Raw genomic sequence first — 27,325 nt, forward strand, 5'->3', positions numbered from 1 at the left:
AAAATTTCTTGAGATTTGTTTTGTGGCATAACATACAGTATATCCCAGAGAATGTTTCATGTGCTGATGAAAATTATTTTCTGCTGCTGTTGGATGAAACATTCTGTCAATGTCTATTAGGTCTATTTGGTCTACAGAACAGTTTAAGTCCAATGTTTCTTGTTGATTTTGTCTAGAGAATCTGTCCAAAGCTGAAAGTGGTCTGCTGAAGTTCTTACCTATTATTGTATTGATACCTATCTCTCTTTCTTTAGCTCTAACAACATTTGCTTTATATATCTGGGTGCTCCAGTGTGCAGTGCATATATATTTACAATTGTATGTCCTCTTGCTGAATTGGTTCCTTTATCATTTTATAATGACTTTCTTTGTCTCTTTTATGTTTTTGACTTTGGTGATTTTCTGTACTGATAATGTCTGATTCCTTTCTTTCTCTCATTCATGTATCTGATCTACCAGTGAGTTTTATACTTTTGTGTATTTTCAAGATGGTAGTTATTGTCCTTTCACTCCCAGATGTAGGACTCCTTTAAGGCAAGTCTAGTGGTGATAAATTCTCTTGGTTTTTGCTTGTCAGAGAAAGACTTTACTTCTCCTTCATTAGTGAAGGATAGCTTTGCTGGGCATAGTATTTCTGGGTAGCCATTTGGTTTTTTGTTTTGTTTTGTTTTCTTTCAGCACTTTGAATATGTCATCCCATTCTCTCCTGGCCTGTAAAGCTTCTGCTGAAAAAATCTGCTGTTAGTCTGATGGCGATTCCCTTATATGTGACTTGACACTTTTCTCTTGCTGTTTTTAGAATTCTCTCTTTGTCTCTGCCTTTTGACAGTTTAACCAAAATGTGCCTTGGAGAGGACCTTTTTGGGTTGAATCTATTTGGGAATGTTTGACCTTCCTTTATCTGGATGTCTGTATCTCTCACATGACTTAGGAAGTTTTCAACTATTCTTTTATTAAATACATTTTCTGTGCCTTTTCCCATGTCTTCTGAAACTCTCAAAATGCAAATATTTGTTCACTTAATGGTGTCCCATATGTCACGTAGGTTTTCTTCATTCCTTTTATTCTTTTTTTGTACTTTATATCTTTTTGTCTGACCGGGCTATTTCAAAATATTTGTCTTCAAGTTCAGAAATTCTTCTGCTTGATCTAGTCTATTGCTGAAGCTCTCAACAGTACTTTTATTTTATTCATTGAATTCTTCAGTTTTGAAATTTCTATTTGGCTTTTTTATTATAGCTATTCCTTTTCAAATTTCTCATTCAGGTCATTAATTGTTTCCTTATTTCTTTGTATTCCCTATTTGTGTTCTCTTGTATCTTGCTGAGTTTCCTAAAGATCATTATTTTGAATTCGTTTTTGGACATTTCATAGATTTCCTTTTCTGTGGGGTCTGTTATTGGAGAATTATTGTGTTCCTTTGGAGGCATCATGTTTCTTTGCTTTTTCATGTTTCTTGTGTCCTTATGTTGATATCTGTGCATCTGGCACAACAGTCACTTCTTCTAATTTAATTAAATAGCTTTAATAAGGAAATATTTTTTCCTGTGGATTTATCTGTAGTCTCAGTTGGGTAGATTGCTTTGGCTTTATTTCTGAGTGAGTGCAATAGTGCAGTTTCCATATGATTTATTTGGCTGTAGTCAACATCACTGGTGTCTACCAGTTCCTCATTTACTTAGACTGTAGTTGTTTGTGGAGGCTGTGGAAAAATTTTGCTGGAAATGAGGACATTGGGCAGGCCAGTCTTTGGTTCCCTGGTAGGCACATGCAGGTATGTGGCAGCCCCACTACTTGAAGGGGCAGGTTTTCTGGCAGTGGTAGTGGTGGGCACTGGGTGGGTTGATCCTCAGGCTCTTGGGCACCATGCATAGGCACTAGTGGTAGCAGCAGTGGGTCCAGGCATTCTGATTTTGGGGCCCCTGAGTGGTGCATGTGGGTACACAGCACCTCTACTGCTGGAGGGGTTGGGGACCACCAGTGACAGTGGCAGCCCCAGGTAGGTAGGCCTCAGTTTCTAGAGAGCATATGCTTTGGCTCCCTGTGTTTTGAGACGGCCTTCCTGGTGTGCTAGACTGCTTGATATGCCTGTTCCTAAGAGTGTAAGGTGCTGCATGGGCTGGGGTGGCAGGGATGCAGTTGCACTGCTGGGTCCAGGTGGTGTTGTGACATTGCAGCCTTCTGAGTGTATGTTGGGGGATATTGGTGGAGCCCAAGGGCTATGGAGACGCAAGACCTATTGGGTCCCAGGCCAGGATGCAGTCTGACGGTAACTCTGCTTCCAAGATGGTGCTGTACTGTGGTAGTTTGGGTCTCATGCATAAAACCCAGTGTAAATGCCCTCTCTGGATGCAGTCTACTGGTAACTCTGCTTCCAAAATGGTGCTCTGCTGTGGCAGTTTCAGTCTCATGGGTAAAACCCAGTGTAAATGCCCTCTCTGGAACAATGTAGATAGATGGACCCCAGGAAGCTCCCTACACTAGGCCTGGCTCTCCTGTAGTCAAAACTGCAAGTGTCTGTGATGAGAATATAAACTACTATGCATCTCTTGCTTAGCTTTTCCTCAAAATGGTGAGTCCTTCTTGGCTCTAAGCCAATCGCAGCCAGCTGCTTCACTTGCCTCTCTATGCTGCCATGTTGAGTTTCTATGCTTGAGAGAGTCTTTGTCACTTCCTTGCTGAATTTCAGTGTTCTCACTTAGATGCTCTATTCAACATGTGATTATCATCTATTTATTGTTTTGGTCCTTCTTTGTGGAAGAGGCAAGTGCCAGGACTTCTGAGCAACCATTTGATGACATCTCTTTGCATTGGCTTTATTACCAAGAAGAAAGAAACTAATGTTATTTTAAATATATATATGTTTTCCTGAAATGTACATTCCAGGAATGTTCTGACTCAGAGGACAACAGCAGCTGCTGGGTGTTTGCTGATTCCTGTGCTTATCTACTCTGATTTGCTTTGATGATGTCTTAATCATGTATCATTTGGATGCAAGAAATAAAAATCAACTCAAAGAAGCAAAAGTAAAAGAGAGAATTATTAAAATGATTTAAGGGCTCTCATGGAACCCCATTCAGGCATTTGCAAGAAATATGACTGAGCATCATGAAAACTAAAAAACCATGAGGGAGTCTCCCTCTCTCTTCTCCTCTTTCATTTCTCTTCTCTCCTTCCTTCTCTCTTCTTTCCATCAATTTTCTCACTAAATAGCTCTGACCTCTGCATCTCTCTGTACATCTGTTCTGGACTCCTCTCTTCAAACCGCCTTCCACTGGAGGGACGCTCATTAGTCTATGGCCCCTTATAATTCCAGTTTGCCATAGCCCCAACACTGAACAATCTTGCAGCTCCAGTATACAATACTACGTTTCCTGTGTCTTTAAATTCTCAGAGTATAATATAGCACTGCTTGAGTTAGGGATTCATCCATAAATTATATCCAGGAGACCACATTATAATTTGTTGCACCTATTCCTTCAGGAGGGGCTATAGAGGCATGTCCAAAAAAAAAGTGGGGTGGGGGTGAAGAGGACCACAAGCTGGAATTCCTAACATGTCTTTTTTACCACAGATTATGTGAAGAAAAAAACCTCAGATGTGTTCTTCTTACACATCGTAACATAATGTAGGTTGTTAGTGACCATACTTACATATTGTAATATCTCTTCAAGCTGTTGTTTAATGAATGTAGTCCACAAGAATAAAGGTCTCCTCCCAACTGAGAGAGAGAGAGAGAATATGTGTGTGTGTGTGTGTGTGTGTGTGTGTGTGTATCACTCCAAGCATTTAGATAAGGGGAAGAAGTGAAGTTGTAGCAATTTTGTGTCATTTCCCCTAAATTTCATGGCCATTCTCAGTGTCTGATTTGATCCCCTGCAAATTGGCATAGATGTATTTGTTCTCTGAATTTTAGAGATCAAATACAGAATAAATAAAACAGGACCTACTTAAAATTTCTTGAAATAGGCAATGCAATTTTGCCCATCTCAAGAAATTTTAAGTAGGTCCTGTTTTATTTAGCTTCAGTTCCTCTAAAAAAATAGTTCTGCTTGTTTTTTCTGACTCATCTGTTTCTTTGCCATTTTTAATATGCACTTTGCAACTGAGCCTCTGTAACCATTTTGTTTTCTTTCCTCATAAAGCAGTTGAGCAACTGCATACTCTTTGGTAAGTCTCTCTTCATTTTGGGAAGTTCTACATTAGTCATAAAATACCTATTTCTGATCTAGTACAAAATATCAGAAGAAAAGTCTTAAGGTCTCTTTATTTTATTTTTTACAAAAACCAGGTTTTCAGTACTTTCCAAATCTCTTTTCCAGCTTTCCAAAAAAAAAAAAAAAAAAAAGCTTATGAGTATGTCTCTTATTTCTTAGTCCTTCTCACCCTGCAAACCAGCTCTCTCTAGGAGGTGGAGCGGGGAGAAAAACAAAGCCCAGATGTGTAGAATTTTCTGGTTTTCATAGTGTAAATACTCCCACCATGACAGAATTGAAACTACCAGTGTGATGTCACTGAATGTGGCTTTGGAAAGAATGCACACCATCCACTCTCTCTAGCTGGTAGGAGACAATCCTAGCATACCGCCCTCTTTTTCTTGCAGTCATAATAGCAAATAGTTTGAGTATATTGATTCTCGAGTCACACAGTCCAGATTTCAAAACAGTATTAGCTCTATGACTTTGGCAAACTGCTTAACTCCTCTAAGTTTCAATTTCATCATCTTTAAAATGGGGGGGTAATAATAAGCTATGTTTCACGGTGTTACTGTTGTAATGTGTAAAATTCTTAGAATAGTGGGTAGCCTATAGTAAGTACCCTAAGGGTGTCCTATTACTCAGGACTAGAGCTCCAGTGGTGCTATGTAGACTTAGAGCCACTAGATGGCGGGCTCCTCATTTCTGCAGCACAAACCTTTTCCGCTGCGCTATTTGCAACTTAACATTCAACAAACTGCTAATTCGATTATATGAATTCACTGACAGCATTTTTTCTACTGCCATCTCCTAGTTTAAGCTACATATTTGACCTTGAAATTCCACTGGGAATCCAGCTACTGGCCCTCACGTGCAGCCACTTCTAAAGCTCTATGCAGGAGTTATTCTCAATCAGGACTTGCTAATCTTAGTGAGTTATTGTAAGAATTAAAACCAAAGCCACAGTTGTCCCTGTTACAGAAGGGAGTCAATTCCCTGGCCTTTCTCTCCACCTCTGTCTTTTCTCACTCAAAAGAAGACAAGATGGCCTCAAATCTGACTTCCATCATTACATAATTTATTCTCCTTCCCAGTCACTAAAGAGATCATAAATTCAACAATAGTTCAGTTCTATAAATATTTATTGAGCATGTGAGATACTATGCTACGAAGTAAAGATATAAAGGTAAATAAAAGTCATAAAGAAGCAAGGAATTTATCTACCAACAAATCTACTAGATCTTTCCAGAAATAATATATTAATTTTTTGATGAACCAAGCAAGTTACTGTAAAACTTAGAGGAATAAGGGTTCTTGAATAACGAATATCTCTATGAGATCTAAAGACATACTAAGTTATAGGTAGACTAATACAACAAAAAAATGAGCACAAAAACAGACTTATTTGTCCAGGGGAACTTGAGATATGATAAAAGTGAACCACAAATAAGTGGGTAAAGGATAGATTATTTATTAGATGGTATTAGATATGAGGCTTACTATTTGGAGAAAAGTAAAGCCGAATACCTTCCTTTTACTTCCTACACAGGTAAACCCAAGTGGATAAGAAATCTAAATGCAGAAGGTTAAGGTATAAATCTAATGGAAGAAAACATAGAATAACTTTGTGAGCAAAGGGTAAAGAATGGCTAATTAAACAAGGTCCTAAAAGCTCAAATCATAAGGCAAAAATTGATTGGACTTCCATTCAACGAAAGGCACAGGTGAGAGACAGATTGACAACATCTAAAATCTACAAGAAACCCCTAGCTGGACTATGCAAGGATAATTGGTGCACATACAAACACACAAACATGAATGGGCAGAGGAAACCCAAATAGTCAGCACATAGAAGAGGTGCTCATGCTTACTTGTAACCAGAAATATGTAAATTAAAAGCAACAACAGGGTACCATTTTGCAGGCATTAGAATAGCCACAAATTACCAAGTGTTGGAGAGGATGTGAAGAAAGGAAAACCCTGGTGCTACTGGCAGGAGTGTCAAATTGTACGTTTGAACGTGGAGAGCAATCCTTCAACACTTGGTGAAATAAAATATTCACATATCCTTTGACTCAGAGAACCACTCTTGAGTACACTCCCAAGAGAAATTCTAGCACAGGTTCATGAAAGGCTATAAATAAAGATGTTTCTTGCATCATTTTTGTGGAGGTAGCAAGTTGAAGGTGCCCTCATTAAGGAGAATGGACCAGTAAAGTGTGATGGGTGGCCAGGATAGAATATTATGCCGCAGTCAGAAGCAGTGAACTCGATGTGCCAACAGCGACATAGAGGGCGTGTCTAGAGTGAAAACTATGAGAAGCAGAGCTGTGTGGCCCAATGCCATTTATGTTTATGAAAAACATCTCACACACAAAATGACACTATACGTTGTAGGAAGTGATATTCACGTCCAAGGACCTCATCAACCGGAACAGCGCATGTGTCTGAAAGAGCCGTATGGTTTATGGAGCCTGACCAGTTGGGTTCAAATCCTGGCTCTCCCACACACTTACTCTGTCCGTTTGAGCAAGTCTCTTAACTTCTCTGTAACGTTTCTTTGTCTGAAAAAAATGGGAAATAGAAATAGTAAGACTCTATGGGGGTTACTGTGAGGAATAACTGAGTTAATATAAAGTGCTTAAACAATGCCTGGCAGTAAATGTTCACTGTTATTCCTATTATTATTGTCAATAATAATGTGAATGGGGAATCAAGAGTGAAGAGAAAAATTAGATTTTTTTAAAAAAAATGAAGGTGGGGGCCGGGCCTGGTGGCTCATGCCTGTAATCCCAGCACTTTGGGAGGCTCAGGCGGGCGGATCACCTGAGGTCAGGAGTTCGAGACCAGCCTGGCCAACATGGTGAAACCCTGTCTCTACTAAAAATACAAAAATTAGCTGGACATGGTGGCAGATGCCTGTAATCCCAGCTACTCAGGAGAGTAGAAGGCAGGAGAATTGCTTAAACCCGGGAGACAGAGGTTGCAGTGAGCTGCGATCACGCCATTGTACTCCAGCCTGGACGACAGAGTGAGACTCCATCCAAAAGCAAAAAAAAAAAAAAAAAACGAAGGAGGGACTTCGTGTACAATAGTGAGCTATAAATTAAAGTTGATGATTAACTCAAGTCTCTCCGAATCCGAGGTTAAAAACACACACATGCGTTTTCCTCCCTGCAGAAACAGAGCATGGTGGAGGATACTGATGACTTCAACGTAATATGGTAAGGTCCATGATAAGAGAAAACACAGATGGCATGAGAATATAAAAGTGGAACACTTAGCCTGGAAGCTCACAAAGGAATTAGGGAGAATAGGAGTCTTGGCAGGCAGTATGGTTTAGGGCTTAAGATTTGGAAGCTGGGTTAAGATCGCAGTTCTGCCTTTTACTAGTTTACATGATTTTTGGCAAGTTACATTCCCAGAATAATAGCACCTAGATAGAAAATATCCAGGCCCTAAGAATGTATTACCAGAACTCAAAGACCCCAGAGGAATCTTGCTGTCGCCTTAAGTATGCTTGAGTCTTTGCTCTAGGTAGTTCCTATCTCTTCAAGAACAATCCTTCCTGCATATCATCAATCATGTGTATGTTAACCTAAAAGCCCCACAGTGCCTCTCCTTACTAGTTTGCTCCGAACATGTTAGACAGTGGGCTGCCTCATTCTTTTGTAATCCTTGGCAAAGTGAAGATGCAGAGAGTGTTGTGATCACATCAAATCTTGAGAGCAGTAGTAGGTGATTGCTGTGGTGACCTTTAACATCAGAAAGAAGCAATTGCCAGCCAGAGGTGAAGGGTCCTCTGAGCAATTGGCTCGGGAGCTCCTGACAGGCAGCCCATGCATTGTCACTGACACGTGCTTTGTAGCCTACCAGCTGCTGTATTAAAAAGAAATCCACCAGCCACACAGACTAAGTCAGTAGCTAGAATGTTATTTTGAAGGTAGTTATTGGTCCAGGAAAGAGGACTTTGTCACTGGAGAGTTTAAAAATCTCATTTTCAAAACACTCCCTAGGTTTGTTCATGTTTCTCACAGAAAGGACGTGAAAATGAAAATACTTGAGTGGCCTGAGATTTGCCTAGGGAATCATCTTAGAAGCAAAGAAGGAAAAGAACATCACGGAAATTCCCGCAGGCATAATTCCATGGACAGAACTAGACAACGTATTCTCTAGCAGTTTTGAAACCAAGATCAGGTAAGGGAAAGAAGGCAAGCTTTATTTATTTATTATCTTTTTTTGAAACTGATGACAGTTTAAACAAAGGAAGTAGCCATCAAAGTTTAGTGTTAAGGTCACAGAGGTTCGTGGTGAATGGCATAAGTTCAATTCCTACTGCCACCATTCACAGGCTTTATGACACTGTAGAAGTTTCACCTTCAATAAAAGGGAAATGATGATGATAGTATCTACCTAAATAGCCACTTTGAAGAACAGTTTGTCCATTTCTTAAAAAGTTAAACATAGACTTACCATTAGACCTAGTAATTCCACTCCTAGGTATCTATCCAAAAGAACACACATGTCTATGCCAAGACTTGAATGCAAATATTTACAGCAGCACTATTCATAATGGACAACAACCTGAAACAATCCAAATGACCATCAACAATGTGTTACATCCATACAATGGAATACTATTCAGCAATAAAATGTTTAAAACTATAAATACATGCTACAGCATAGATGAACTTCAAGAACATTATGCTAAGTAGAAAAAAGTCAGATGCAAAAAAAAAAACTACGTATTGCATGATTCCATTTATATGAAATTTCCAGAAAGGACAAATCTATAAAGACAAAAAGAAGATCCGTGGTTTCTTAGGGGGTGGGAGTGGGATTGAGTGCAGGTTCTCAACCAGGATTGACTACAAAGTAGCAAGCACCAAAGAAAAAAAGAAAAGACTTTGAGATGATGAAAACATTCTAAGGCTGAATTGTAGTGATGGTTGCACAACTGTATAAATATACTAAAAACTATTGAATGGTACACTTACAATGGGTGATCTTTATGGCAAATATATCAAGTTGCTAAAAAATGGTACTTACCTTGTAGGGTTGTTAAAAGGATTAAATTAGTTAATATTTATAAAGTACTTAGAAGAGTGACTGATGTAGTAAGCTACATGTGTGTTTGCCAAACAATAAAAATAAATGTGGCTGTGTGATTCATCGCAAGAGTAAATTACTAACAGTTCCTGTATGTTTTTCTACACCAACAGGAAGCAATTCTGAGTACTTAGGCAATGAAATTACTTCTTTTCTATAAAATACGTTTTTAAGATCACACTAAGCTTGAGGTTATTCCAGGAGAGATTGTAAATCTTGTCACATGACTTTGCCTTGCCTCTACCTGCCGTAGCTCCAGCCTCATCTCTCACCATTGCCCTCCTTCAAATCCTTCAGCTAAAGAGAATTTCTCTCAGTTCCTCAAGACTCCAGACAATGGGCTTTTCCATAATGTTGCTGGCTCTGTATGGAATATCTATCTGCTCTTCCTCTCTGCTATTGGCTGAATGTGTGTGTCCCCACAAAACTCATAGGTTAGAATCCTAACCCCCAAGGTGATGGTATTAGGAAGTGGGGGCTTTGGAAAATGATTAGGTCATGAGGGTGGAGCCCTCATAAATCGGGTGGGTGGCCTTATGAAAGGGACCCAGAGAGTTCCCTGTCCTTTCTACCACATGAGGACACAGGGAGGAGATGGCCATTTGTGAGCCAGAAAGTGAGCCCTCATCAGACACCATATCTGCCAGCTCCTTGATCTTGGACTTCCCAGCCTCCAGACCTACCAGAAATAAATGTCTGCTGTTTATAAGCTATGCAGTCTATTGTATTCTATAATTGCAACCCTGACTACAGTGCTATCCACGGTCTACTTACTTCCTACCTACAGTTCAAGTCTTCATTTAGGGTTACTTCCTCTGAGAAGCATTCCCTGATTCTTTCTCAACATCCTTAACACTCCTTCCCTCAACACACACACACACACGCACACACAAAACACACTTTGTATTGAATTTGCCAATTGATGTTTTGCCTTTTGACTCCCACATCAGATGGAGTGCTTATAACCCCAAGCACTCAGAACAGTGCATGAGGCAGAGGAGACACTCAATAGACACCAGTGCAGGTTTGCAACCAGGGTGATTTTGATGCCACCAGGAAACACTTGGCAATTTTGTCACCTTAAAAGTTCCCTCATGCCAATGTTCAGTCAATCCCCACTCTCACTGCCAGCCTTAGGAGAAACCACTGATTTGCTTCCTGTCTATTCTGAAAATGTTATGCAAATGAAATTGTATAACACATAGTACTTTGCATCCATCTTCTTTCATTTAGCATAATATTTGGTGGTCACACCTGGGCACCTAGTGGCATCCAGTGGGTAGAGGCCAGAAATGTTACAAAAACATTTTTACAATAAACACAACAGCCCCCACAACCAATAATTATCCATTCCAATGTGTCAATATGCTGAGGTTAAGAAATCCTGCACTAGTGAAATGAATAAACGTGTGAATTAATGAACAAATGAATCCTCTTTTCTGACATGAATTTAAGGATTGTTCTCACTATCCTTTCAAATTCTTTTAAAAAAAGAAGAGTCTCTGAAAATATTTCCATATCCCTTCCCTTCCCACATTTCAACTTTGTTTCTCTAACAACTGTGTTTTCAAAGAACGGCTCAGAATGGGAGAAATACCAGGATTATTGCACTGGGGACACCGATGTTCTGCACAGGCTCCCTTAGACATAAACCCAAGCAGGTGAGGTGCTGCCAGCAGCCTTCAGCTGTCAGCCCTGAGCTGAAGAGTCACCTCAGCCAAGGTCAGGGCCCCTTCCCAGGGCAGCGCATAACCTGAGACTAGCTCATAAGGGGATGTAAAGTCCCAGCCAACTCACCGGAACTCAGTACAATCTCAGAATTCCTTGTAGAACTGACAGGGTCCTTTGCTGAGACAGCATCACAGCACCACAGCCAACCTTTCCCTCTGCCTGACTCTCTCATTTTCTTCCCTTCTCTTCCCATCCCATCACTTCCTCTCCACAGGTGTTGATCATAAAATCAATCCCTGATAAAGCTCCTCCACTGTAATCTTCAGGAGGCTGCCTCCCAAATGTGACAATGTGAAACAATGACTCTGGCTTCTCAAGTTTATATTGGAGCACAAAAACTTTTAATGTACAAAAATATATATTTATAAGATAATCTATCATGACAGACACCAGATCAGTGGGGATGGAGGGCAGGGAGAAATGGAGGAAGGGATTGCAAAGGGTCGTAAGAAAATTTGGAAGGAGGGTGACATAAATGTTCATTATCTTGATTGTGATGGCAAGTTAACAGGGATATACACATGTCAAAACTTACCAAGGCATATACTTTAAATATGTGCAGTTTATTATGTGTCAGTTAAACTTCAATAAAGCTGAAGAAAGAAAGAAGGAAGGAAAGAAGGAAGGAAAGAAAGAAAAAGAAAGAAAGAAAGAAAAAGAAAGAAAGAAAGAAAGAAAGAAAAAGAAAGAGAGAGAAAAGAAGAAGGAGGAAGGAGGGAGGGAGAGGGAGGGAGGAAGAGGGAGGGAGGAAGGAAGGAAGGAAGGAAGGAAAAGACATTAGAGTCTGAGAAATTAGGAGAAATTACACGATATGTAATGCAGCTATTTTTATTTTTTCATTTTCTTTTGTTTTTGTCCATCTGAATACATATTTTATAAGGATATAATTACAGTATATATTAGTTGTTCTCAGCTTCAATATTGTCACACTGATATGTCCCGATGAATCATGAGATGTTCTACCTAAACTTATTAATCATATTTAAAGTACCCCAGTTTGCTAAGGTTTATCTCTTTTAATATAGCATAGCACACCCAAGATTAGAATTATAATAATGTCAATTTCACTCTCTTACATTTGGTATGTTTTCCTAAGTGAGAAAGCTAGCACACAGAGTTTCATATAACCATTGATAAATCCTTAGGAAAATGTCAAGTGCTGAGAACCAGTAATATAAATACTCAGTACTCAGTGGTATCTTGGCAAATATTGTATCTTAACACTCTGTCACAGATGTTGCCATATGGCCTTCATAATTGACATTTTCCTTAAATCCAGGTAAAATATACAAATGGTAAAAGAAAATCACATAAATAATAACAGCCTCCTTCTAATTCCCTCCCACTTCTGCCAGTATAATTTCCTAAGGGCAACTTTCTTCCTTTCTTCATTGCTTTTTTTCCCTCCTTCCTCCCTTCATCTTTCCCTACACCCATTCCTCCCTCCTTCTTTCCTTCGTATCTGTGCTTCTTTCTGGGTAGATAATTTACTTACATGGGTCAAAAATTTAATGAGTTTTAAATGTCATATACAACAAAAACTCTCCCTCATACCCTGGTACTCACTTACCTATGTTTCCTCCTCAAAAGCAACAATTTTGTCAGTTCTTTGTCACTCCATTAAGCAATATCAGGAAGTATATACATGCATGTGTATTTCACACATTTACAGAATATTTCCAACTTTTAAGATAATAATATGCATCATTTTACATCTTGCTTTTTTCACTTATTAATATATGGAATATCATTAAATAGTAATAGAAAAGAGCTTCCAAATTCTTTTTAAAGATGCAAGATATTCTAAATATTGATGTATTGAATTACTCCCATAACAATGAACATTAGGTGCTTTCCAATCTGTTGCTATTACAAAAAGTGTTGTAATTTATAACTTCATAGGAAGGGAAGTTCATGCCCCCACATATTTGCAGAGCAGAGCATTTGGCTGCACCCAACTCTTGTGGTCAAGCAATGACCCTTCCCTGCTTCACAGCCCAACCTGAGGTTCTTCCAGGCCTGGGGAGGGAGGAAAGCTTGAAACTGTGCATATCTGTAGAGCATAGCCTCTGGCTTTGCCCATCCCAAGTGGGCAAGCAGTGACCTCAGAGACTCATCCAGCCCTAAGGCTAAGGCCCAGCCTGTAGCCCTGTCCAGCCAGATTCCAAACAGCATACCACTAACCTATGAAAAAGAGCCTGCAAATCTGCTCAATCAGACATGATTGCAGAGCCTAGCCACAAGTTCTACCTAAACACAAAGCCCAGCCAGTGCTCTTACTAGAGTACAGAGTACAGCCAGCAGCTCCAGCTGACCTTTGAGCTTAGGCAGCAGCTCAGCCCAACTAAAGAACCCAAGAGCAAGGTCTGCCTGCATAGGGTCACTACCAGCTGACCCGTTCAGAAACACAGGCCAGGCTAAATAGCGAAGCTCCATCCCCAGTGCAGAACACCAGCAAAAACCAGACAAGGTAGGTGATTCCTCAAATGTGCAGACACTGACACAAAGACACAGAATTACAAAAAAACAGAGAAATATGACACCACCAAAGAAATTAATAATGCTCCAATAATGGACCCTAAAAAAATGAAGAACTATAAAATTTCAAATAGCAGTACCACTCATTTAGGAAACAGACCCTAGATGACTGATAAAAACTTCAGAAAAAAATCCTCTTCAAGAAGCTCAGGGAACTACAAGAAAACATGAATAGAAAATTAAATAAAATTTAAAATACAATGCACAAACAAAACAAAAAGTTTGGCAAAGAAATAAAAACAATAAAAATAGAAATTTTAGAGAAAAAGAATATAATAAATGAGCTGAAAAATTCAATAAAACTCTTCAATGGCAGACTCAATCAAGCAGAAGAAGGAATCAGTGAGGTTGAAGATGGTACATTTGAAATTACTCAGGGAAGAAAGAAAAGAGAATAAAATGAAGACAGAAAGCCTATGGGAATTATAGGATATCATCAAGATAACTAAATTTACATAATAAAAGTGGCACTGGGAGGATCGCTTGAGGCAAGGAGTTCAAAACCAGCCTGGGCAACACAGCAAGATCTCCATCTCTACAAAAATAAAATTAGCCAGGCATGGTGGCACACATCTGTAGTCCCAGCTATTCCAGAAGCTGAGCTTGAGCCAAGGTGTTCGAGGTTATGGTGAGCTACGATCATGTCACTGCACTCCAGCCTGGATAACAGAGAGAGATCTTGCCTCAAATAAATAAATAAGTAAAAATAGAAGTGGCAGAAAGTGGAGAAAGAGAGAAAGTGCCAGAAAGCACTTTTTAAAAAATGGTTGAAAACTTCCCAAATCTAGGGAAAGATGTCAATACCCAGGTACAGGGAGCTCAGAGGTCTCCAACAAAATTCAACTCAAAGAGGTGTTCAACAAGACATATCATAATCAAACTGTCAAAATTAAAGACAGAAAGAACTCTGAAAGCAGAAAGAGATAAGGAAATATCACATCTTAAGGAATCTCAATGTGACTAGCAGTGGATGTCTCAGCAAAAACCCTGCAGATAAGGACAGAGTGGGATAATATACTCAAAGTGCTGAAGGAAAACAGTGCCAAACAAGAATATATCCAGAAGAAGTCCCTCTGAAATAAGGAAGAATAAAAACTTCACCAGACAAACAAAATTTAAGGGTGTTCATCATTACTAGTCCTGCCTAGTAATCATGCAGGAATTGCTAAAAAAGAGTTCTTTAAGCTGAAATAAAAGGTATTTAATTAATAACAAAGCATATGAAAATATAAAACTCAATGGGCATATTCAGGATAATCTACTACTCTAATGGTGGTGTATAAAGCAATTTTATCTCTACTATGAGGGTTAAAAGATAAAAGTATTAAAAACAACTATAGCTGCAATAAATCGTTAAGGGATACAAATTACAGAAAGACGTAAAATTTTATATCAATATTATAAGAGGTGGTTGGGGTAAAAGTGTAGAATTTTTGTATGTGAATAGAGTTAAGTTGTTATCTGTTTAAAATAGCCTATTATAAGTATAAGATGTTTCATGTAAGCCTCATGGTAACTACAAAGCAAAAACAAAAACCTATAGTAGTTGCACAAAACATAAAAAGAAATAATTTGAAGCATATCACTACAGGAAACCACCAAACCACAAAAAAAAATAGCAAGGCATGAAAAAAGAAAAATGACAAAAGAAAACAAGTTACAACATAGCAGTAGGAAGTCCACACCTATTAAATAATTACCTTAAATAAAAATGAATTAAATTATCCAATCAAAAGAAAGTAACTGAGTGGATTTAAAAAAAAATGTAGCCTACAAGAGGCTCACATTATTAGTAAAAACACACAAAGACTGAAAGCAAAGGGATGAAAAAAGATATTCCATGCAAATGGAAGCCAAAAGAGAGCAGTAGTAGCTATACTGATAGCAGACCTAATAGACTAAGTCAAAAACTGTAAAAAAAAAAAAAAAAAAAAAAAGACAAAGAAGGTCATTATACAATAATAGGGGGTTCAATTCATGAAGAGGACAAAACAAGTGTAAATACATATGCTCCCAACATTAGAACATCTAAATATAAAAAGCAACTATTAAATGATCTGAATGCAGGCTGGGTGTGGTGGCTCACGTCTATAATTCCAACACTTTGGGAGGCTGAGGCAGGAGGATTCCTTGAGCCCAGGAGTTTGAAACTAGCCTGGACAACATAGTGAGACCTCATCTCTACAAAACATAAACAAAATTAGCCAGGCATGGCAGTGCACATCTGTAGGCCCAGCTACTCAGGAGGTGGGAAGATCATTTGAGCCCAGAAGGTCGAGGCTGCAGTGAGCCAAGATCACACCATTGCACTCCAGCCTGGGTGACAAAACAAGACGCTATCTCAAATAAATAAATAAATAATCTGAAGGGAAAGATAGACTGCAATATAATAATAGTAGGAAACTTCAACACTCCATTTTGAACAATGGACAGATCATCTAGACAGAAAATCAGTAAGATAACATTGGCTTTGAATTACAAGTTAGGCTAAATGGAACTAATGCACATATACAAAACATTTCATCCAACAGCAACAAAATATACATTCTTCTCAAGTGCACACAGAACATTATCTAAGATGGCTCTAAATGTTAGGCCACTGATATGGTTTGGGTCTGTGTCCCTGCCCAAATCTCATGTCAAATTGTAATAATCCCCAGTGTCGGAGGTGGGGTCTGGTGGGAGGTGATTGGATCACGGTGGTGGATTTCCCCCTGGAGCTGTTCTTGTGGTAGTGAGTTATCATGAGATCTGGTTGTTTAGAAGTGTTTAGTACCTCCCCCTTCTCTCTTCCTCCTGCTCTAGCCACATAAGATGTGCCTGCTTCCCCTTCACCTTCTGCCATGATTTTAAGTTTCCTGCCATGCTTCCTATACAGCCTGTGGAACTGGGAGCCAATTAAACCTCTTTTCTTTATAAATTACCCAGTCTTAGGTATTTCTTTATAGCAGTGTGAGAACTGACTTATATAGCCACAAAATGAGGCTTAACAAATTCAAGAGGATTAAAATCATAACAAGTATATTTTATGATTACAGTAGTATGATACTAGAAATCAGTAACAGGAGAAATCTTCAAAAATTCACACATATATGAAAACTAAAGAGCACACTCTGAACAATCATTAGATCAAAGAAGAAATCAAAAGGAAATTGAAAAATATTCTGAGACAAATAAAATTGAAGCACAACATATCAAAACTCATGGGATGTGGCAAAAGCAGTTCTAAGAGGAAACTTTATAGCAATAAACACCTATATCAAAAAGGAAGAAAGAGCTCAAATGAGCGATCTAATATTATACCTAACAAACTAGAAAAGGAACAAACTAAGCCCAAAGTAAGCAGAAAAAAGGAAATAACAAACAGCAGAGTGGAAATAAATAAAATAGTAATTAGAAAAACAATAGATAAAATCAACAAAATTGGCCAGGCATGGTGGCTCACACCTGTAACCCCAGCACTTTGGGAGGCCGAGGCAGGAAGATTGCCTGAGTGCAGGAGTCTGAGACCAACCTGGGCAACATGGCAAAACTCCAACTCTACCAAAAAAAAAAAAAAAAAAATACAAAAATTAGCCAGGCATGGCCATAAGTGCCTACAGCCCTAACAACTTGGGAGGCTGAGGCGGGAGGATCACTTGGGCCCAGGAGGTCGAGACTGCAGTTATCTAAGATTGTACCATTGCACTCCAGCCTGAGTGACAGAGCAAGACCCTGTCTCTAAAAAATAAAATAAGTTAAGATAAAATAAAATAAACAAAACAGTTGGGTCTTTTTGAAAATATAAACAAAAGTGAAAAAAACCTTAGCCAGACTAGGGAAAAAAGAGACTACTCAAATAAAATCAGAAATGAAAGAGGAAACATAACAAATAGTACAGAATACAAAGGATCATAAGAAACTACTAAGAACAATTATATTCTAACAAATAGGATAACAGAAAAAAATGGATTAATTCTAGACATATGCAACCTACTAAGACTGAATCATGAATAAATAGAAAATCTCAGTATACTAAGAACGAGTAAGATGTTTGAGTTGGTAATAGAAAGTCTTTCATCAAAAAAAGCCCAGGACCAGATGGCTTCACAGCTGAATTCTAGCAAACATATAAAAAACTAATACTGTATTAGTCCATTCATGTTGCTATTAAGGAATACCTAAGACTGGGTAATTTATGAAGAAAAGTGGTTTATTTGGCTCACAGTTCTACAGTCTGTACAGAAAGCACAATGTCAGCATCTGTTTCTGGTAGGGTCTCAGGAAGCTTACAATCATGGTAGAAGGCAAAGGGGAGTCAGCACGTCACATGGCGAGAGAGGGAGCAAGCAAGATGCCAGGTCCTTTTAAACAATCTGCTCTTGTGTGGACTCACACAGCAAGAATTCACTCATCACCAAGGAGATAGCACTAAGCCACCCTATTCATGAGACATCTGCCTTCATGAACCAACATCTCCCACTGGGCACCACCTCCAACACCAGGGATCACATTTTAAGGTGAGATTTTGGAGGAGACAAACATCCAAACCATATCAAATAACAATTCTTTTTAAACTCTTCCAAAAAAAATTGAAGTAAAGGGAACACTTCCATACCCATTTTACAAGCCAGCATTACCCTCATACTAAAGCCAGACAAGGACAGTACAAGAAAAGAAAATTGTAGGCCAATATCCCTGATAAACATAGGTGTAAAAACCCTCAACAAAAAACTATAAACTTAATTCAACAGCACACTAAAAAGATCATTTACCGTAAGCAAGTGTGATTTATCCCAGGGATGCAAGGATGGTTCAACATATGCAAATCAGTAAACATAATACACCACATTAACAAAATGAAGGACAAAAACCATATGATCATCTCAATAGAAGTAGAAATCATTTGACAAAATTCAATATTCTTCACGATAAAAACTCTCAACAGGTATGGAAGGAATATACCACAACACAATAAAGGCCATATATGACAAGCTCACAGCTAACATCATACTCAAGGTGAAAAGTTGAAAGCTTTTCCTCTGACATCAGGAATAAGACCATAATGCCCACTCTCACCACTTTTTTTCAACATAGTACTGGAAGTCCTAGCCAGAGCAATTAGCCAAGAGACAGAAATAAAGGGGATCCTAACATGAAAGGGAGAAGTAAAATTGTCTCTGTGGATGATATAATCTTATATATAGAAAACTCTATAGAGATTCCACCAAAAAAATTGTTAGAACTGATAAGCAATATCAATAAAGTTGCAGGATACAAAATTAATATACGAAAATCACTAGCATTCTTGTACACCAACAGTGAACCATCTGAAAAAGAAATTAAGAAAACAATCCCATTTATAGTAGCAACAACAAAAACAAACAAAAAAAACTTAGGTGTAAATTTTTAAAAATTGGTTAAATGAGGTAAAACATCTGTGTACTGAAAACTGTAAAACACTAATAAAAGAAATTGAAAATGACACAAATAAATGGAAAGTTGTCCCATGAAAGAATTAATGTCGTTAAAATGTCCATACTACCTAAAGCGATTTACAAATTCAATGCAATCTCTATCAAAATTCCAGTGTCATTTTTCACAGAAATAGAAAAAAAAATCCCTAAATTTGTATGGAACCATTAAAACATACCCAGATAGTAAAACAATCTTGAGCAAAAAGAACAAAACTGGAGGTATCACACTTCTTGACATCAAAATATACTAGAAAGCTATAGTAATCAAAAGAGCATAATATAAAAACAGACACATGGACCAACACAGCAAGATTCAGAGCTCAGAAATAAACACACACATTTATAGACAATTGCTTTTTAAAAAAATTTAAGAACAGGGTCTTACTACATTGCCTAGGCTGGCCTCGAACTCCTGGGCTCAAGAGATCCTCTCGCCTTGCCTCCCATGTAGCTGAGACTACAGTCATGAGCCACCATGTGTGGCTAACTTCCTTTTTGCTTAAGGTGCCTAGAACAAACAAGGGAGAAAAGATAAGCTCTTCAAAAGATGGTGTTGGAACACTGGATATTCACAAGCAGAAAAATAAAATTGGATTATTATCTTACACCATATACAAAAATCAATACAAAATATATTAAAGACTTAAATATAGGGCCTGAAACTGTAAAACTACTAGAAGAAAACATAGAGAAAAAACCTCCACAACATCAGTCTGGGCAATGATTTTTTGGATATGACCCCAAAAGCACAGGCAACACAAGCAAAAATAGATAAATGGGATTGCATCAAACTAAATAGCTTTCGAACAGCAAAGAAAACAATTAACAGAGAGAAGAGACAACTCACAGCGTGGGAGGAAATACTTGCAAACCACACATCTGATAAGGGGTTAATATTCAGGCTATATAAGGAACTCACACAACTCAAAAGCAGGAAAACAAATAACATGATTTAAAACTGGGCAAAGAACCTGAGTAGATATTTCTCAAAAGAAGACACACAAATGGCCAACAGATATGTATAAAATAAATATGGTCGGGTGTGGTGGCTCACACCTGTAATCCCAGCACTTTGGGAGGCCGAGGCGGGCGGATCACGGGATCAAGAGATAGAGGCCATCCTGGCCAGGATGGTGAAACCCCATCTCTACTAAAAATATGAAAATTAGCTGGGCATGGTGGCATGTGCCTGCAGTCCCAGCTACTCAGGAGGCTGAGGCAGGAGAATTGCTTGAATCCAGGAGGCGGAGGTTGCAGTGAGCTGAGATCGCACCACTGCACTCCAGCCTGGCGAAAGAGCAAGACTCTGTCTCAAAGAAATAAAAATAACAATAAAAATAAATAAATAAATGCTCAACATCATTGATTATTAGAGAAATGCAAATTAAAACCACAATGAGACAGTACCTCACATTGTTAGAATAGCTATTATCAAAAAGATGAAAAACAAGTGTTGGCGCGGATGTGGAGAAGAGGGGACCCTTGTACACTATTGGTGGGAATGTCAATTAGTACAGCTGTTATAGAAAACAGCATGGAGGTGTTTTGAGAGCCCCAGCCAAACTGGGGTTCCAATACCAGAGTGGCTAGCAACACTGCCCCTAACAGGAAATAAAGGGGAACTGGATAGGGATGTTTACCATGTCCTTTCACAGGATACTTTTTTTAACCAGGGGGTGGACTAATGCCTAGTTTTCAGCCTGGATTCAGGGGATCCGTCACACAGAACACTCTTTTATACTGACAGACACTCTTGTGACCCTTGTCTGACCCATGCCCAGTTTATGCCTGCCTGGCTATCACTCTGGTGCTGGGTGCCTGACCTTGTGTTCTCCTCAGCATCTCAGGGAAAACCCAGCTTGGGGCATCTCCTAGTCCTTCAGAGGGGAGGCACAAATTCAATGCACCACCAAAATAGGAGACAAGTTCAGCAATTTTTGCTTACAGATATTGGGCAAGGAGATGTAATGAATGAAGAGGGCAATCCTCCATCCCTGGGTCATGACAGGCAGGAAGGAAGAGTTAGGCAGAGAGAGAGAAGCCCATGGCAACTAGCTGTATATATGAGGACTAGGATTGGGGGTACTTTAAATTCTCTGGAAAATACCTGAATGGCCCATTTAAAAGGAAGCAGTGGGAAAGGAGAGAGCCCAGTCTTCTAGGCCGGAGAGATGTCTCTGAATTCTTATCTCTGGCCACCGGCTTGAGCCATTTGGATGTGACGTAGAACTAGAAACCCTGTCAAGGGTGACTGAGTTCTGCTTCTGTTGTGAGAAAGTTAAACTTGTATTCAAAATCGATGCCAAGGCAACATAAAATAGAACTCACTGCAGGAGGGGAAATGAGAAGATACTGTAGAAAGAGTACAAGGTTTCTATTAGAAAAAAAAAAGGGATATGTTTTTGATATCTATTGCTCAGCATGGTGACTATAGTTAATAATAATGTATATTTCAAAATTGCTCAGAGTAATTTTCAAATGTCTCATCACAAAAAATAATAAGTGAGGTGGTGGATATGTTAATTAGCTTGACTTATACATTTATACCTACATCAAAACATCACCTTGTACCCCATAAATTTACATAATTATAATTTGTCAATTAAAAATAATAATTCATAACTTCACAGTATATCATGTCGCAGGTGGCAACCATGTTTATATCTAAATTCTTAAAACTGCTGGATCAAAGGGTACATCTGTAAAACAGAAGACATCATTAAACTGCCCTCTGCAGACGCTGTACCAATTTACACTCCCACCGGTTAAATAAAAGAATGGTTTTCCATGACTCCGTACCAACACTGAGTCATCAAACTTTATGAGTTTTGTCAACTCGATAGACAAAAGCATATCACAGGGTAGTTTTAACTGACAATTATCATAAGTATACAAAGTGTCTTCAAATGTTTAGTATTTGCAAGCCATCTATATGTCCATTTTCATGTATGTTCTCTTCATCTTCCCATTTTTTCCACTGGGCTTCTGTTTTTTTTAATGTATTGATTTTTAGCTCTTTCTACAGTAGAATAATTAAAATTAGCTTTTTGACTATGAAATAAGCACAGATATTTTTCCCAGTTATGTTTTTGACTCATTGGATTTTGCCAAGCAGATTTTTAAAAATTTGATATAATTAAATGCATCGATCTTTTAAGGTTTCTGCATTGGTATTACAGTTAGCAAGGCTATTTCTATTCTCAGCTGTTTTAAAAGTTTCTCCATAAGTTCTTGAGGCACTTTATTGGCTTCCTCTTTATAACATTTAGATATTTGATCCATTTAGAGGTGTTCCATGTGTAAGTTGTGAGGTATGGATCTAAATACATTTTTGGGCCAGGCGCAGTGGCTCACACCTGTAATCCCAGCATTTTGGGGGTCCAAGGCAGGCGGAGCAAGAGGTCAGGAGTTCGAGACCAACCTGACTACCATGGTGAAACCCTGTCTTTACTAAAAAATACAAAAATTAGCTGGGCATGGTGGCACACGCCTGTAATCCCAGCTACTCAGGAGGCTAAGGCAGGAGCATCGCTTGAACCCAGGAGGTGGAGGTTGCAGTGAGCCGAGATCGTGCCACTGCACTCCAGACTGGGTGACAGAGCGAGACTCCTCACAAAAAAACAAAAACAAACAAACAAACAAAAACAAAAAAAAAAACCTCTCAGTTGTCCCAATATCATTTATTGAATAGTCAATTTTTTATTTATTTGAAAAGGCAACTTAAAGCATTTCCAGTATCAATTATTTAATTCCAAATGACATGATTAAAGCGCTATTTACTGAGCTTTCAAATGTAGATAATACCATTGGCTCATCTACGAAAGATGAGAATTTGGATCGCATACACCACCTCTCCTCTGCCTCCTCCAATGTTTGATAATTATATCATGTTTTGTTCCTCTACTTAGTGCTTTTCCCACTTCAAATAACTTACTTATACCACTATTTCTTGTTTCAATAGCTCTAATCAGTATCTAGAGTAAAATTAAGTAAGCAGGAGGCTATTGACCTGAGACAGTCTCCATGCTTTGAATTCCTATGAAACAAAATGCAACCTAACTTAGTATGTAAACAAACTGAAACTTAACTTAGGAGTTTCATTTTTATAACAGATAACCAGGTCTTTGCCAATCACAAGCAGCCAAGCTTCAGCTAAGTGCAAGCAGCCAACGGACTGGCTCATGTCTAAATCAAGCAAAACACTTAGCTGCAACAAATCAAACTATTTATGTACTTTACCTTCCTGTTCTGCTTATAAATACTCATTGCTTACAGTTGCAGAGCTCTCGGAACCTCTTCTGGTTCTGAGTACTGCCTGATTCAAGAATCATTCTTTACTCAAATAAACTCCATTAAATTTAAATTGTCTGAGGTTTTTCTTTTAACACTAAATACCCCTCTCAGCAATAGGAAGATGATAGCCCATAGAAGTGAATATATTTTTCTTTTTGTTGTCTCTACTCCATTTTATCCACAACAGGGCCCAACCTAAAAATAATAATAATAACAACAGTAATAGTATGTGGAGATAGACTGTAAGGACTCAGATCAATGTTTTATTATTCTGTGATTCTTAAAGTAAATATACATGAGTCCATACTGATATAAATAACTGACTGAATAAATAAATAAATAGAAAGAAGGGACAACTCTCCTGTCAAAAGAATTCCAATTAATAAATGAAAAAAACTAAGGAAATAGAGAATCACCATTAGAACACCACAGTAACAACTGCTGCAGGCAAGATCCACTGATGAATAATAAAACTGATGGGTGACAGTTTAGGGAGCAACTGGATATTTGCATAGCCTCAAAGTATCTCCCCCAAATATTTATTAGTTACCATGGTAGTGTTAACGTATATCCACAACTTCTTTAATATTCTTCCCTCCAGTGGATGGACTTAATCTACTCAACCCTCACTCCCAGGATGGGCTGCACTTACTGACTCCCTTCCAAAAACTAGGGTTTGGATAGGGAAAAATGGTGACTTTACAGTGCAGAAATTTTCCAGTTGCTCCGCCTTAACCAGGTGACCAAGGTAAACACCACCAGTGATGAGTCATGTTGATATCCCTGTACCTCATGACATGATTCAAGAAGGGCACCTTACCTCTGTGGTAATCTTCCCAAAAGTCCACAACCTTAGTCTTACTCTGAGGAAATATCAGACAAACCCAAATGAAGGGACATGCCACAAAATAGCTGATCAATACTCTTCACAAGTGTCAAAGTCATGAAACACTAGAAAAGGCCAAGAAACTCTCATAGATATGGGAAGAATAAAGAGACATGACAACAAAATTCTGTATGTATGCTGGACTGGATCCTGGAACAGAAAAAGAACACTAATGAAAAAACTGGTGAAATCTGAGCAAAACCTGCAGTTCAGTTAATAGTAACGTACCAGGCTGGGCACAGTGGCTCATGCCAGCACTTTGGGAGGCTGAGGCAGGGGGATCACGAGATCAGGAGTTGGAAACCAGCCTGTCCAATATGGTGAAACCCCGTCTCTACTAAAAAATACAAAAAATTAGCTGAGCGTGGTGGCACACGCCTGTAGTCCCAGCTACTTGGGAGACTGAGGCAGAAGAATCGCTTGAACCTGGGAGCCGGAGGTCGCAGTGAGCCAAGATTGCGCCACTGCACTCCGGCCTGGGTAACAGAGTGAGACTCCAGCTCAAAAAAAAAAAAAAAAGTAATGTACCAATGTTAATGTATTGGTTTTTATCATTATCATACTTATGTAAGATTTTCACATTAGGTAAAGCTGGATGAGGGGTATTCAGAAACCTTGTACTATCTTTACAAGTCTTCTATAAATCTAAAACATTTCCAAATATAAAAAGCTTTTTAAAATAAGTGATTGATCTACCTTTGAAATGAAACCTTAAATTACCACGCTGAATTAGCTCTTGGACACTTTAAAATTATGATTACTGGAGAAAAACAAAAATGTAGCTGGGCATGGTGGCTCATGCCTGTAATCCCAGCAGTTTGGGAGGCCGAGGTGGGAGGATCACTTGAGCCCAGGAATTCAAGACCAGACTGGGAAGCATGGTGAAACCCCACCTCGACAAAAAACAAAAATTAGCTGGGTGTGGTGACATACACCTGTAGTCCCTGCTACTCAGGAGGCCAAGGTGGGAGAATTGCTTGAGCTTGGGGGGCAGAGGTTGCAGTGAGCCAAAATTGAACCACTGCACTTCAGTCTGAGCGAGAGTGAGATCATGTCTCAAAAAAAACAAGGTGGGCTGTGGTGGCTCACATTTGTAATCCCAGCACTTTGGAAGGCCAAAATGGGTGGATCACCTGAGGTCAGGAGTTCAAGACCAGGCTGGCCAACATAGTGAAAGCCCATCTCTACCAAAAACACACAAAAAATTAGCTGGGCGTGGTGGTGGGCACCTGTAATCCCAGCTACTTGGGAGGCTGAGGCAGAGAGAATTGCTTGAACCCAGGAGGCAGAGGTTGCAGTGAGCTGCAATTGTGCTACTGCACTCCAGCCTGGGCAACAGAACAAGACTCCATCTCAAAAAAAAAAAAAGTTTAGTTTCAGTGGTTGTTGAACAATTAGTTTACTCTGCAAGTAGGTAATGATAACATCATTTTTCATTCCATTTTGCATGCTCTTCTCCATGTAGGGGTTTACCTCGTATCTCTGTATTCTGATAGCCTGGAGTTGTTTTCCTTATTGATACAAATGAAAAGTGGAATCTTTATATGTTTTCCAATTTATTAAATTAGTAATGTTAAAAATAATTTTAACAAAGTTAAATGGAATTATTTTAAAATTCTGTTTCTTTGCAGTAAATGTAATCCCAATATAAGACAATATGACTCACATATTTGTGAAAACGAATAGGGCCAATCGTTTCCATTATCACCAAAATTATCTATAGTGAGGCCTCTCCATCTTCTACCAGTCCCTCTTTTTTTTCACTCACTCAAAATATATGTATCGATGGTCAAATGTGTCCCAGACATTGTGCAAATCTCTGACAAAGGTAACACAAGAAAATGTGTACTCTGAGAACTTCTTATTCTGCCCCAGTTTAGGAGATTCATGCAACTGCCAAGCAACAATAATAAGAGCTAGCAGTTATTGGAGTACCTCATTCCTCACAACTCGTCATAAGGCAGGTGTTATCATTAGATATTCCCCATGTGTATGCAGGATGAGGAAATAGGTTCAGAGAGGTCAAGTGGCTCACCCAAGGGGCACAGCTAAGTGAAAGGCACTGCAGGCATCTCAAACTACCCCCTTCCCACAAGACTCCACTGCAGAGCAGGACAGTCACCCTGACACCAGCCCAATGGGTTCATCTTGCCCATTACCCAGATGGGGCTAATTTATCAAGACAAGGGAATTGCAATAGAGAAAGAGTTTAATACACATAGAGCCAGCTAAACAGGAGACCAGAGTTTTATTATTACTCAAATTAGCCTCCCAAAATTCGGAGGCAGAGGCTAGGGGACTTTGTGGGTTTTTTTGTTTTTGTTTTTGTTTTTCTTTTGAGAGGGAGTCTTGCTATGTCACCCAGGCTGGAGTGCAGTGGCATGATCTCGGCTCACTGCAACCTCTGCCTCCCGGATTCAAGCAATTCTCCTGACTCAGCCCCCCGAGTAACTGGGATTACAGGCACATGCCACCATGCCCGGCTAATTTTTGCATTTTTAGTAGAGACAGGGTTTCACCATGTGGGCCAGAGTGGTCTTGAACTCCTGACCTCAAGTGATCCACCCACCTCAGCCTCCCAAAGTGCTGGGATTACAGGCGTGAGCCACCATGCCCGCCGGCTAGAGTTTTTTAATGATAGTTTGATGGGCAAGGGGCTAGAGAATGGGTGCTGCTAATTGGTTGGGGATGCAATCACAGGGGTGTGGAAAACCGTCCTCAGTGCACCGAGTTGCATTTGGATGCGGGCCACAGAGGAGTCACTGGTCCAGGTGGAGTCATCCTGTCATTAGAAATGGAAAAGTCTGAGAAGGTATCTTCAAAGGCCAGTCTTAGGTTCTACAAAAGTGGTTATTTACAGGAATAATTGGGGAAGTTGCAGAGCTTGTGACCTCTGGAACAATGTCTGGTAATTGTTAATGCCTACATCTTAGCAGAATTCAGGCCCCTCTCATAATCCTAAACTTGTGGACTTTTATTAGTTTTATAAAACTGGTTTAGTTTGGGGAAGGGCTATTATCATTTAAACTATAAACTAAATTTCTCCCTATATTAGCTCGTCCCATGCTCAGGAATGACCAAGGGCAGTTTGGAGGTTAAAGGCACGATGGAGTTGG

At 39.1% G+C, this 27,325-nt stretch overlaps 2 long non-coding RNA genes across 4 annotated transcripts in view, besides 1 other annotated feature; one reads left to right on the forward strand and one right to left on the reverse strand.

Annotated features, from left to right (window-relative positions):
• Positions 1-1,691: 1,691 nt before the first annotated feature.
• On the forward strand, positions 1,692-27,324 carry LOC105375546 (uncharacterized). 3 transcript variants are annotated; one of them, XR_007060569.1, is made up of 3 exons: positions 1,692-1,774; positions 8,234-8,393; positions 27,265-27,324. It is a non-coding gene; the product is annotated as an uncharacterized LOC105375546 (long non-coding RNA). The 3 variants fall into 3 exon arrangements; XR_928072.4 differs by lacking the exon at positions 1,692-1,774 and adding an exon at positions 7,372-7,420 and having other exon boundaries at positions 8,213-8,393; XR_007060568.1 differs by lacking the exon at positions 1,692-1,774 and adding an exon at positions 7,372-7,420.
• Positions 11,018-11,194: a silencer, noted in NCBI's record as "fragment chr7:142943994-142944170 (GRCh37/hg19 assembly coordinates)". NCBI's record gives its function as "represses an EF-1alpha promoter that drives an FKBP-Casp9 reporter gene in an ReSE screen in phorbol 12-myristate 13-acetate-treated (for megakaryocytic differentiation) K562 erythroleukemia cells {active_cell/tissue: K562(+PMA)}" and the evidence as "EXISTENCE:reporter gene assay evidence [ECO:0000049][PMID:32094911]".
• TMEM139-AS1 (TMEM139 antisense RNA 1) overlaps positions 19,416-27,325 on the reverse strand; it is a 31,036-nt gene continuing 23,126 nt past the window's right edge. The window contains exon 3 of the long non-coding RNA NR_133932.1: positions 19,416-19,538. This is a non-coding gene — a long non-coding RNA (TMEM139 antisense RNA 1). The remainder of the gene's footprint in view (positions 19,539-27,325) is intronic.

The sequence above is a fragment of the Homo sapiens genome, chromosome 7, assembly GCF_000001405.40.
Source record: "Homo sapiens chromosome 7, GRCh38.p14 Primary Assembly".
Classification (NCBI taxonomy): Eukaryota; Metazoa; Chordata; class Mammalia; order Primates; family Hominidae; genus Homo; species Homo sapiens.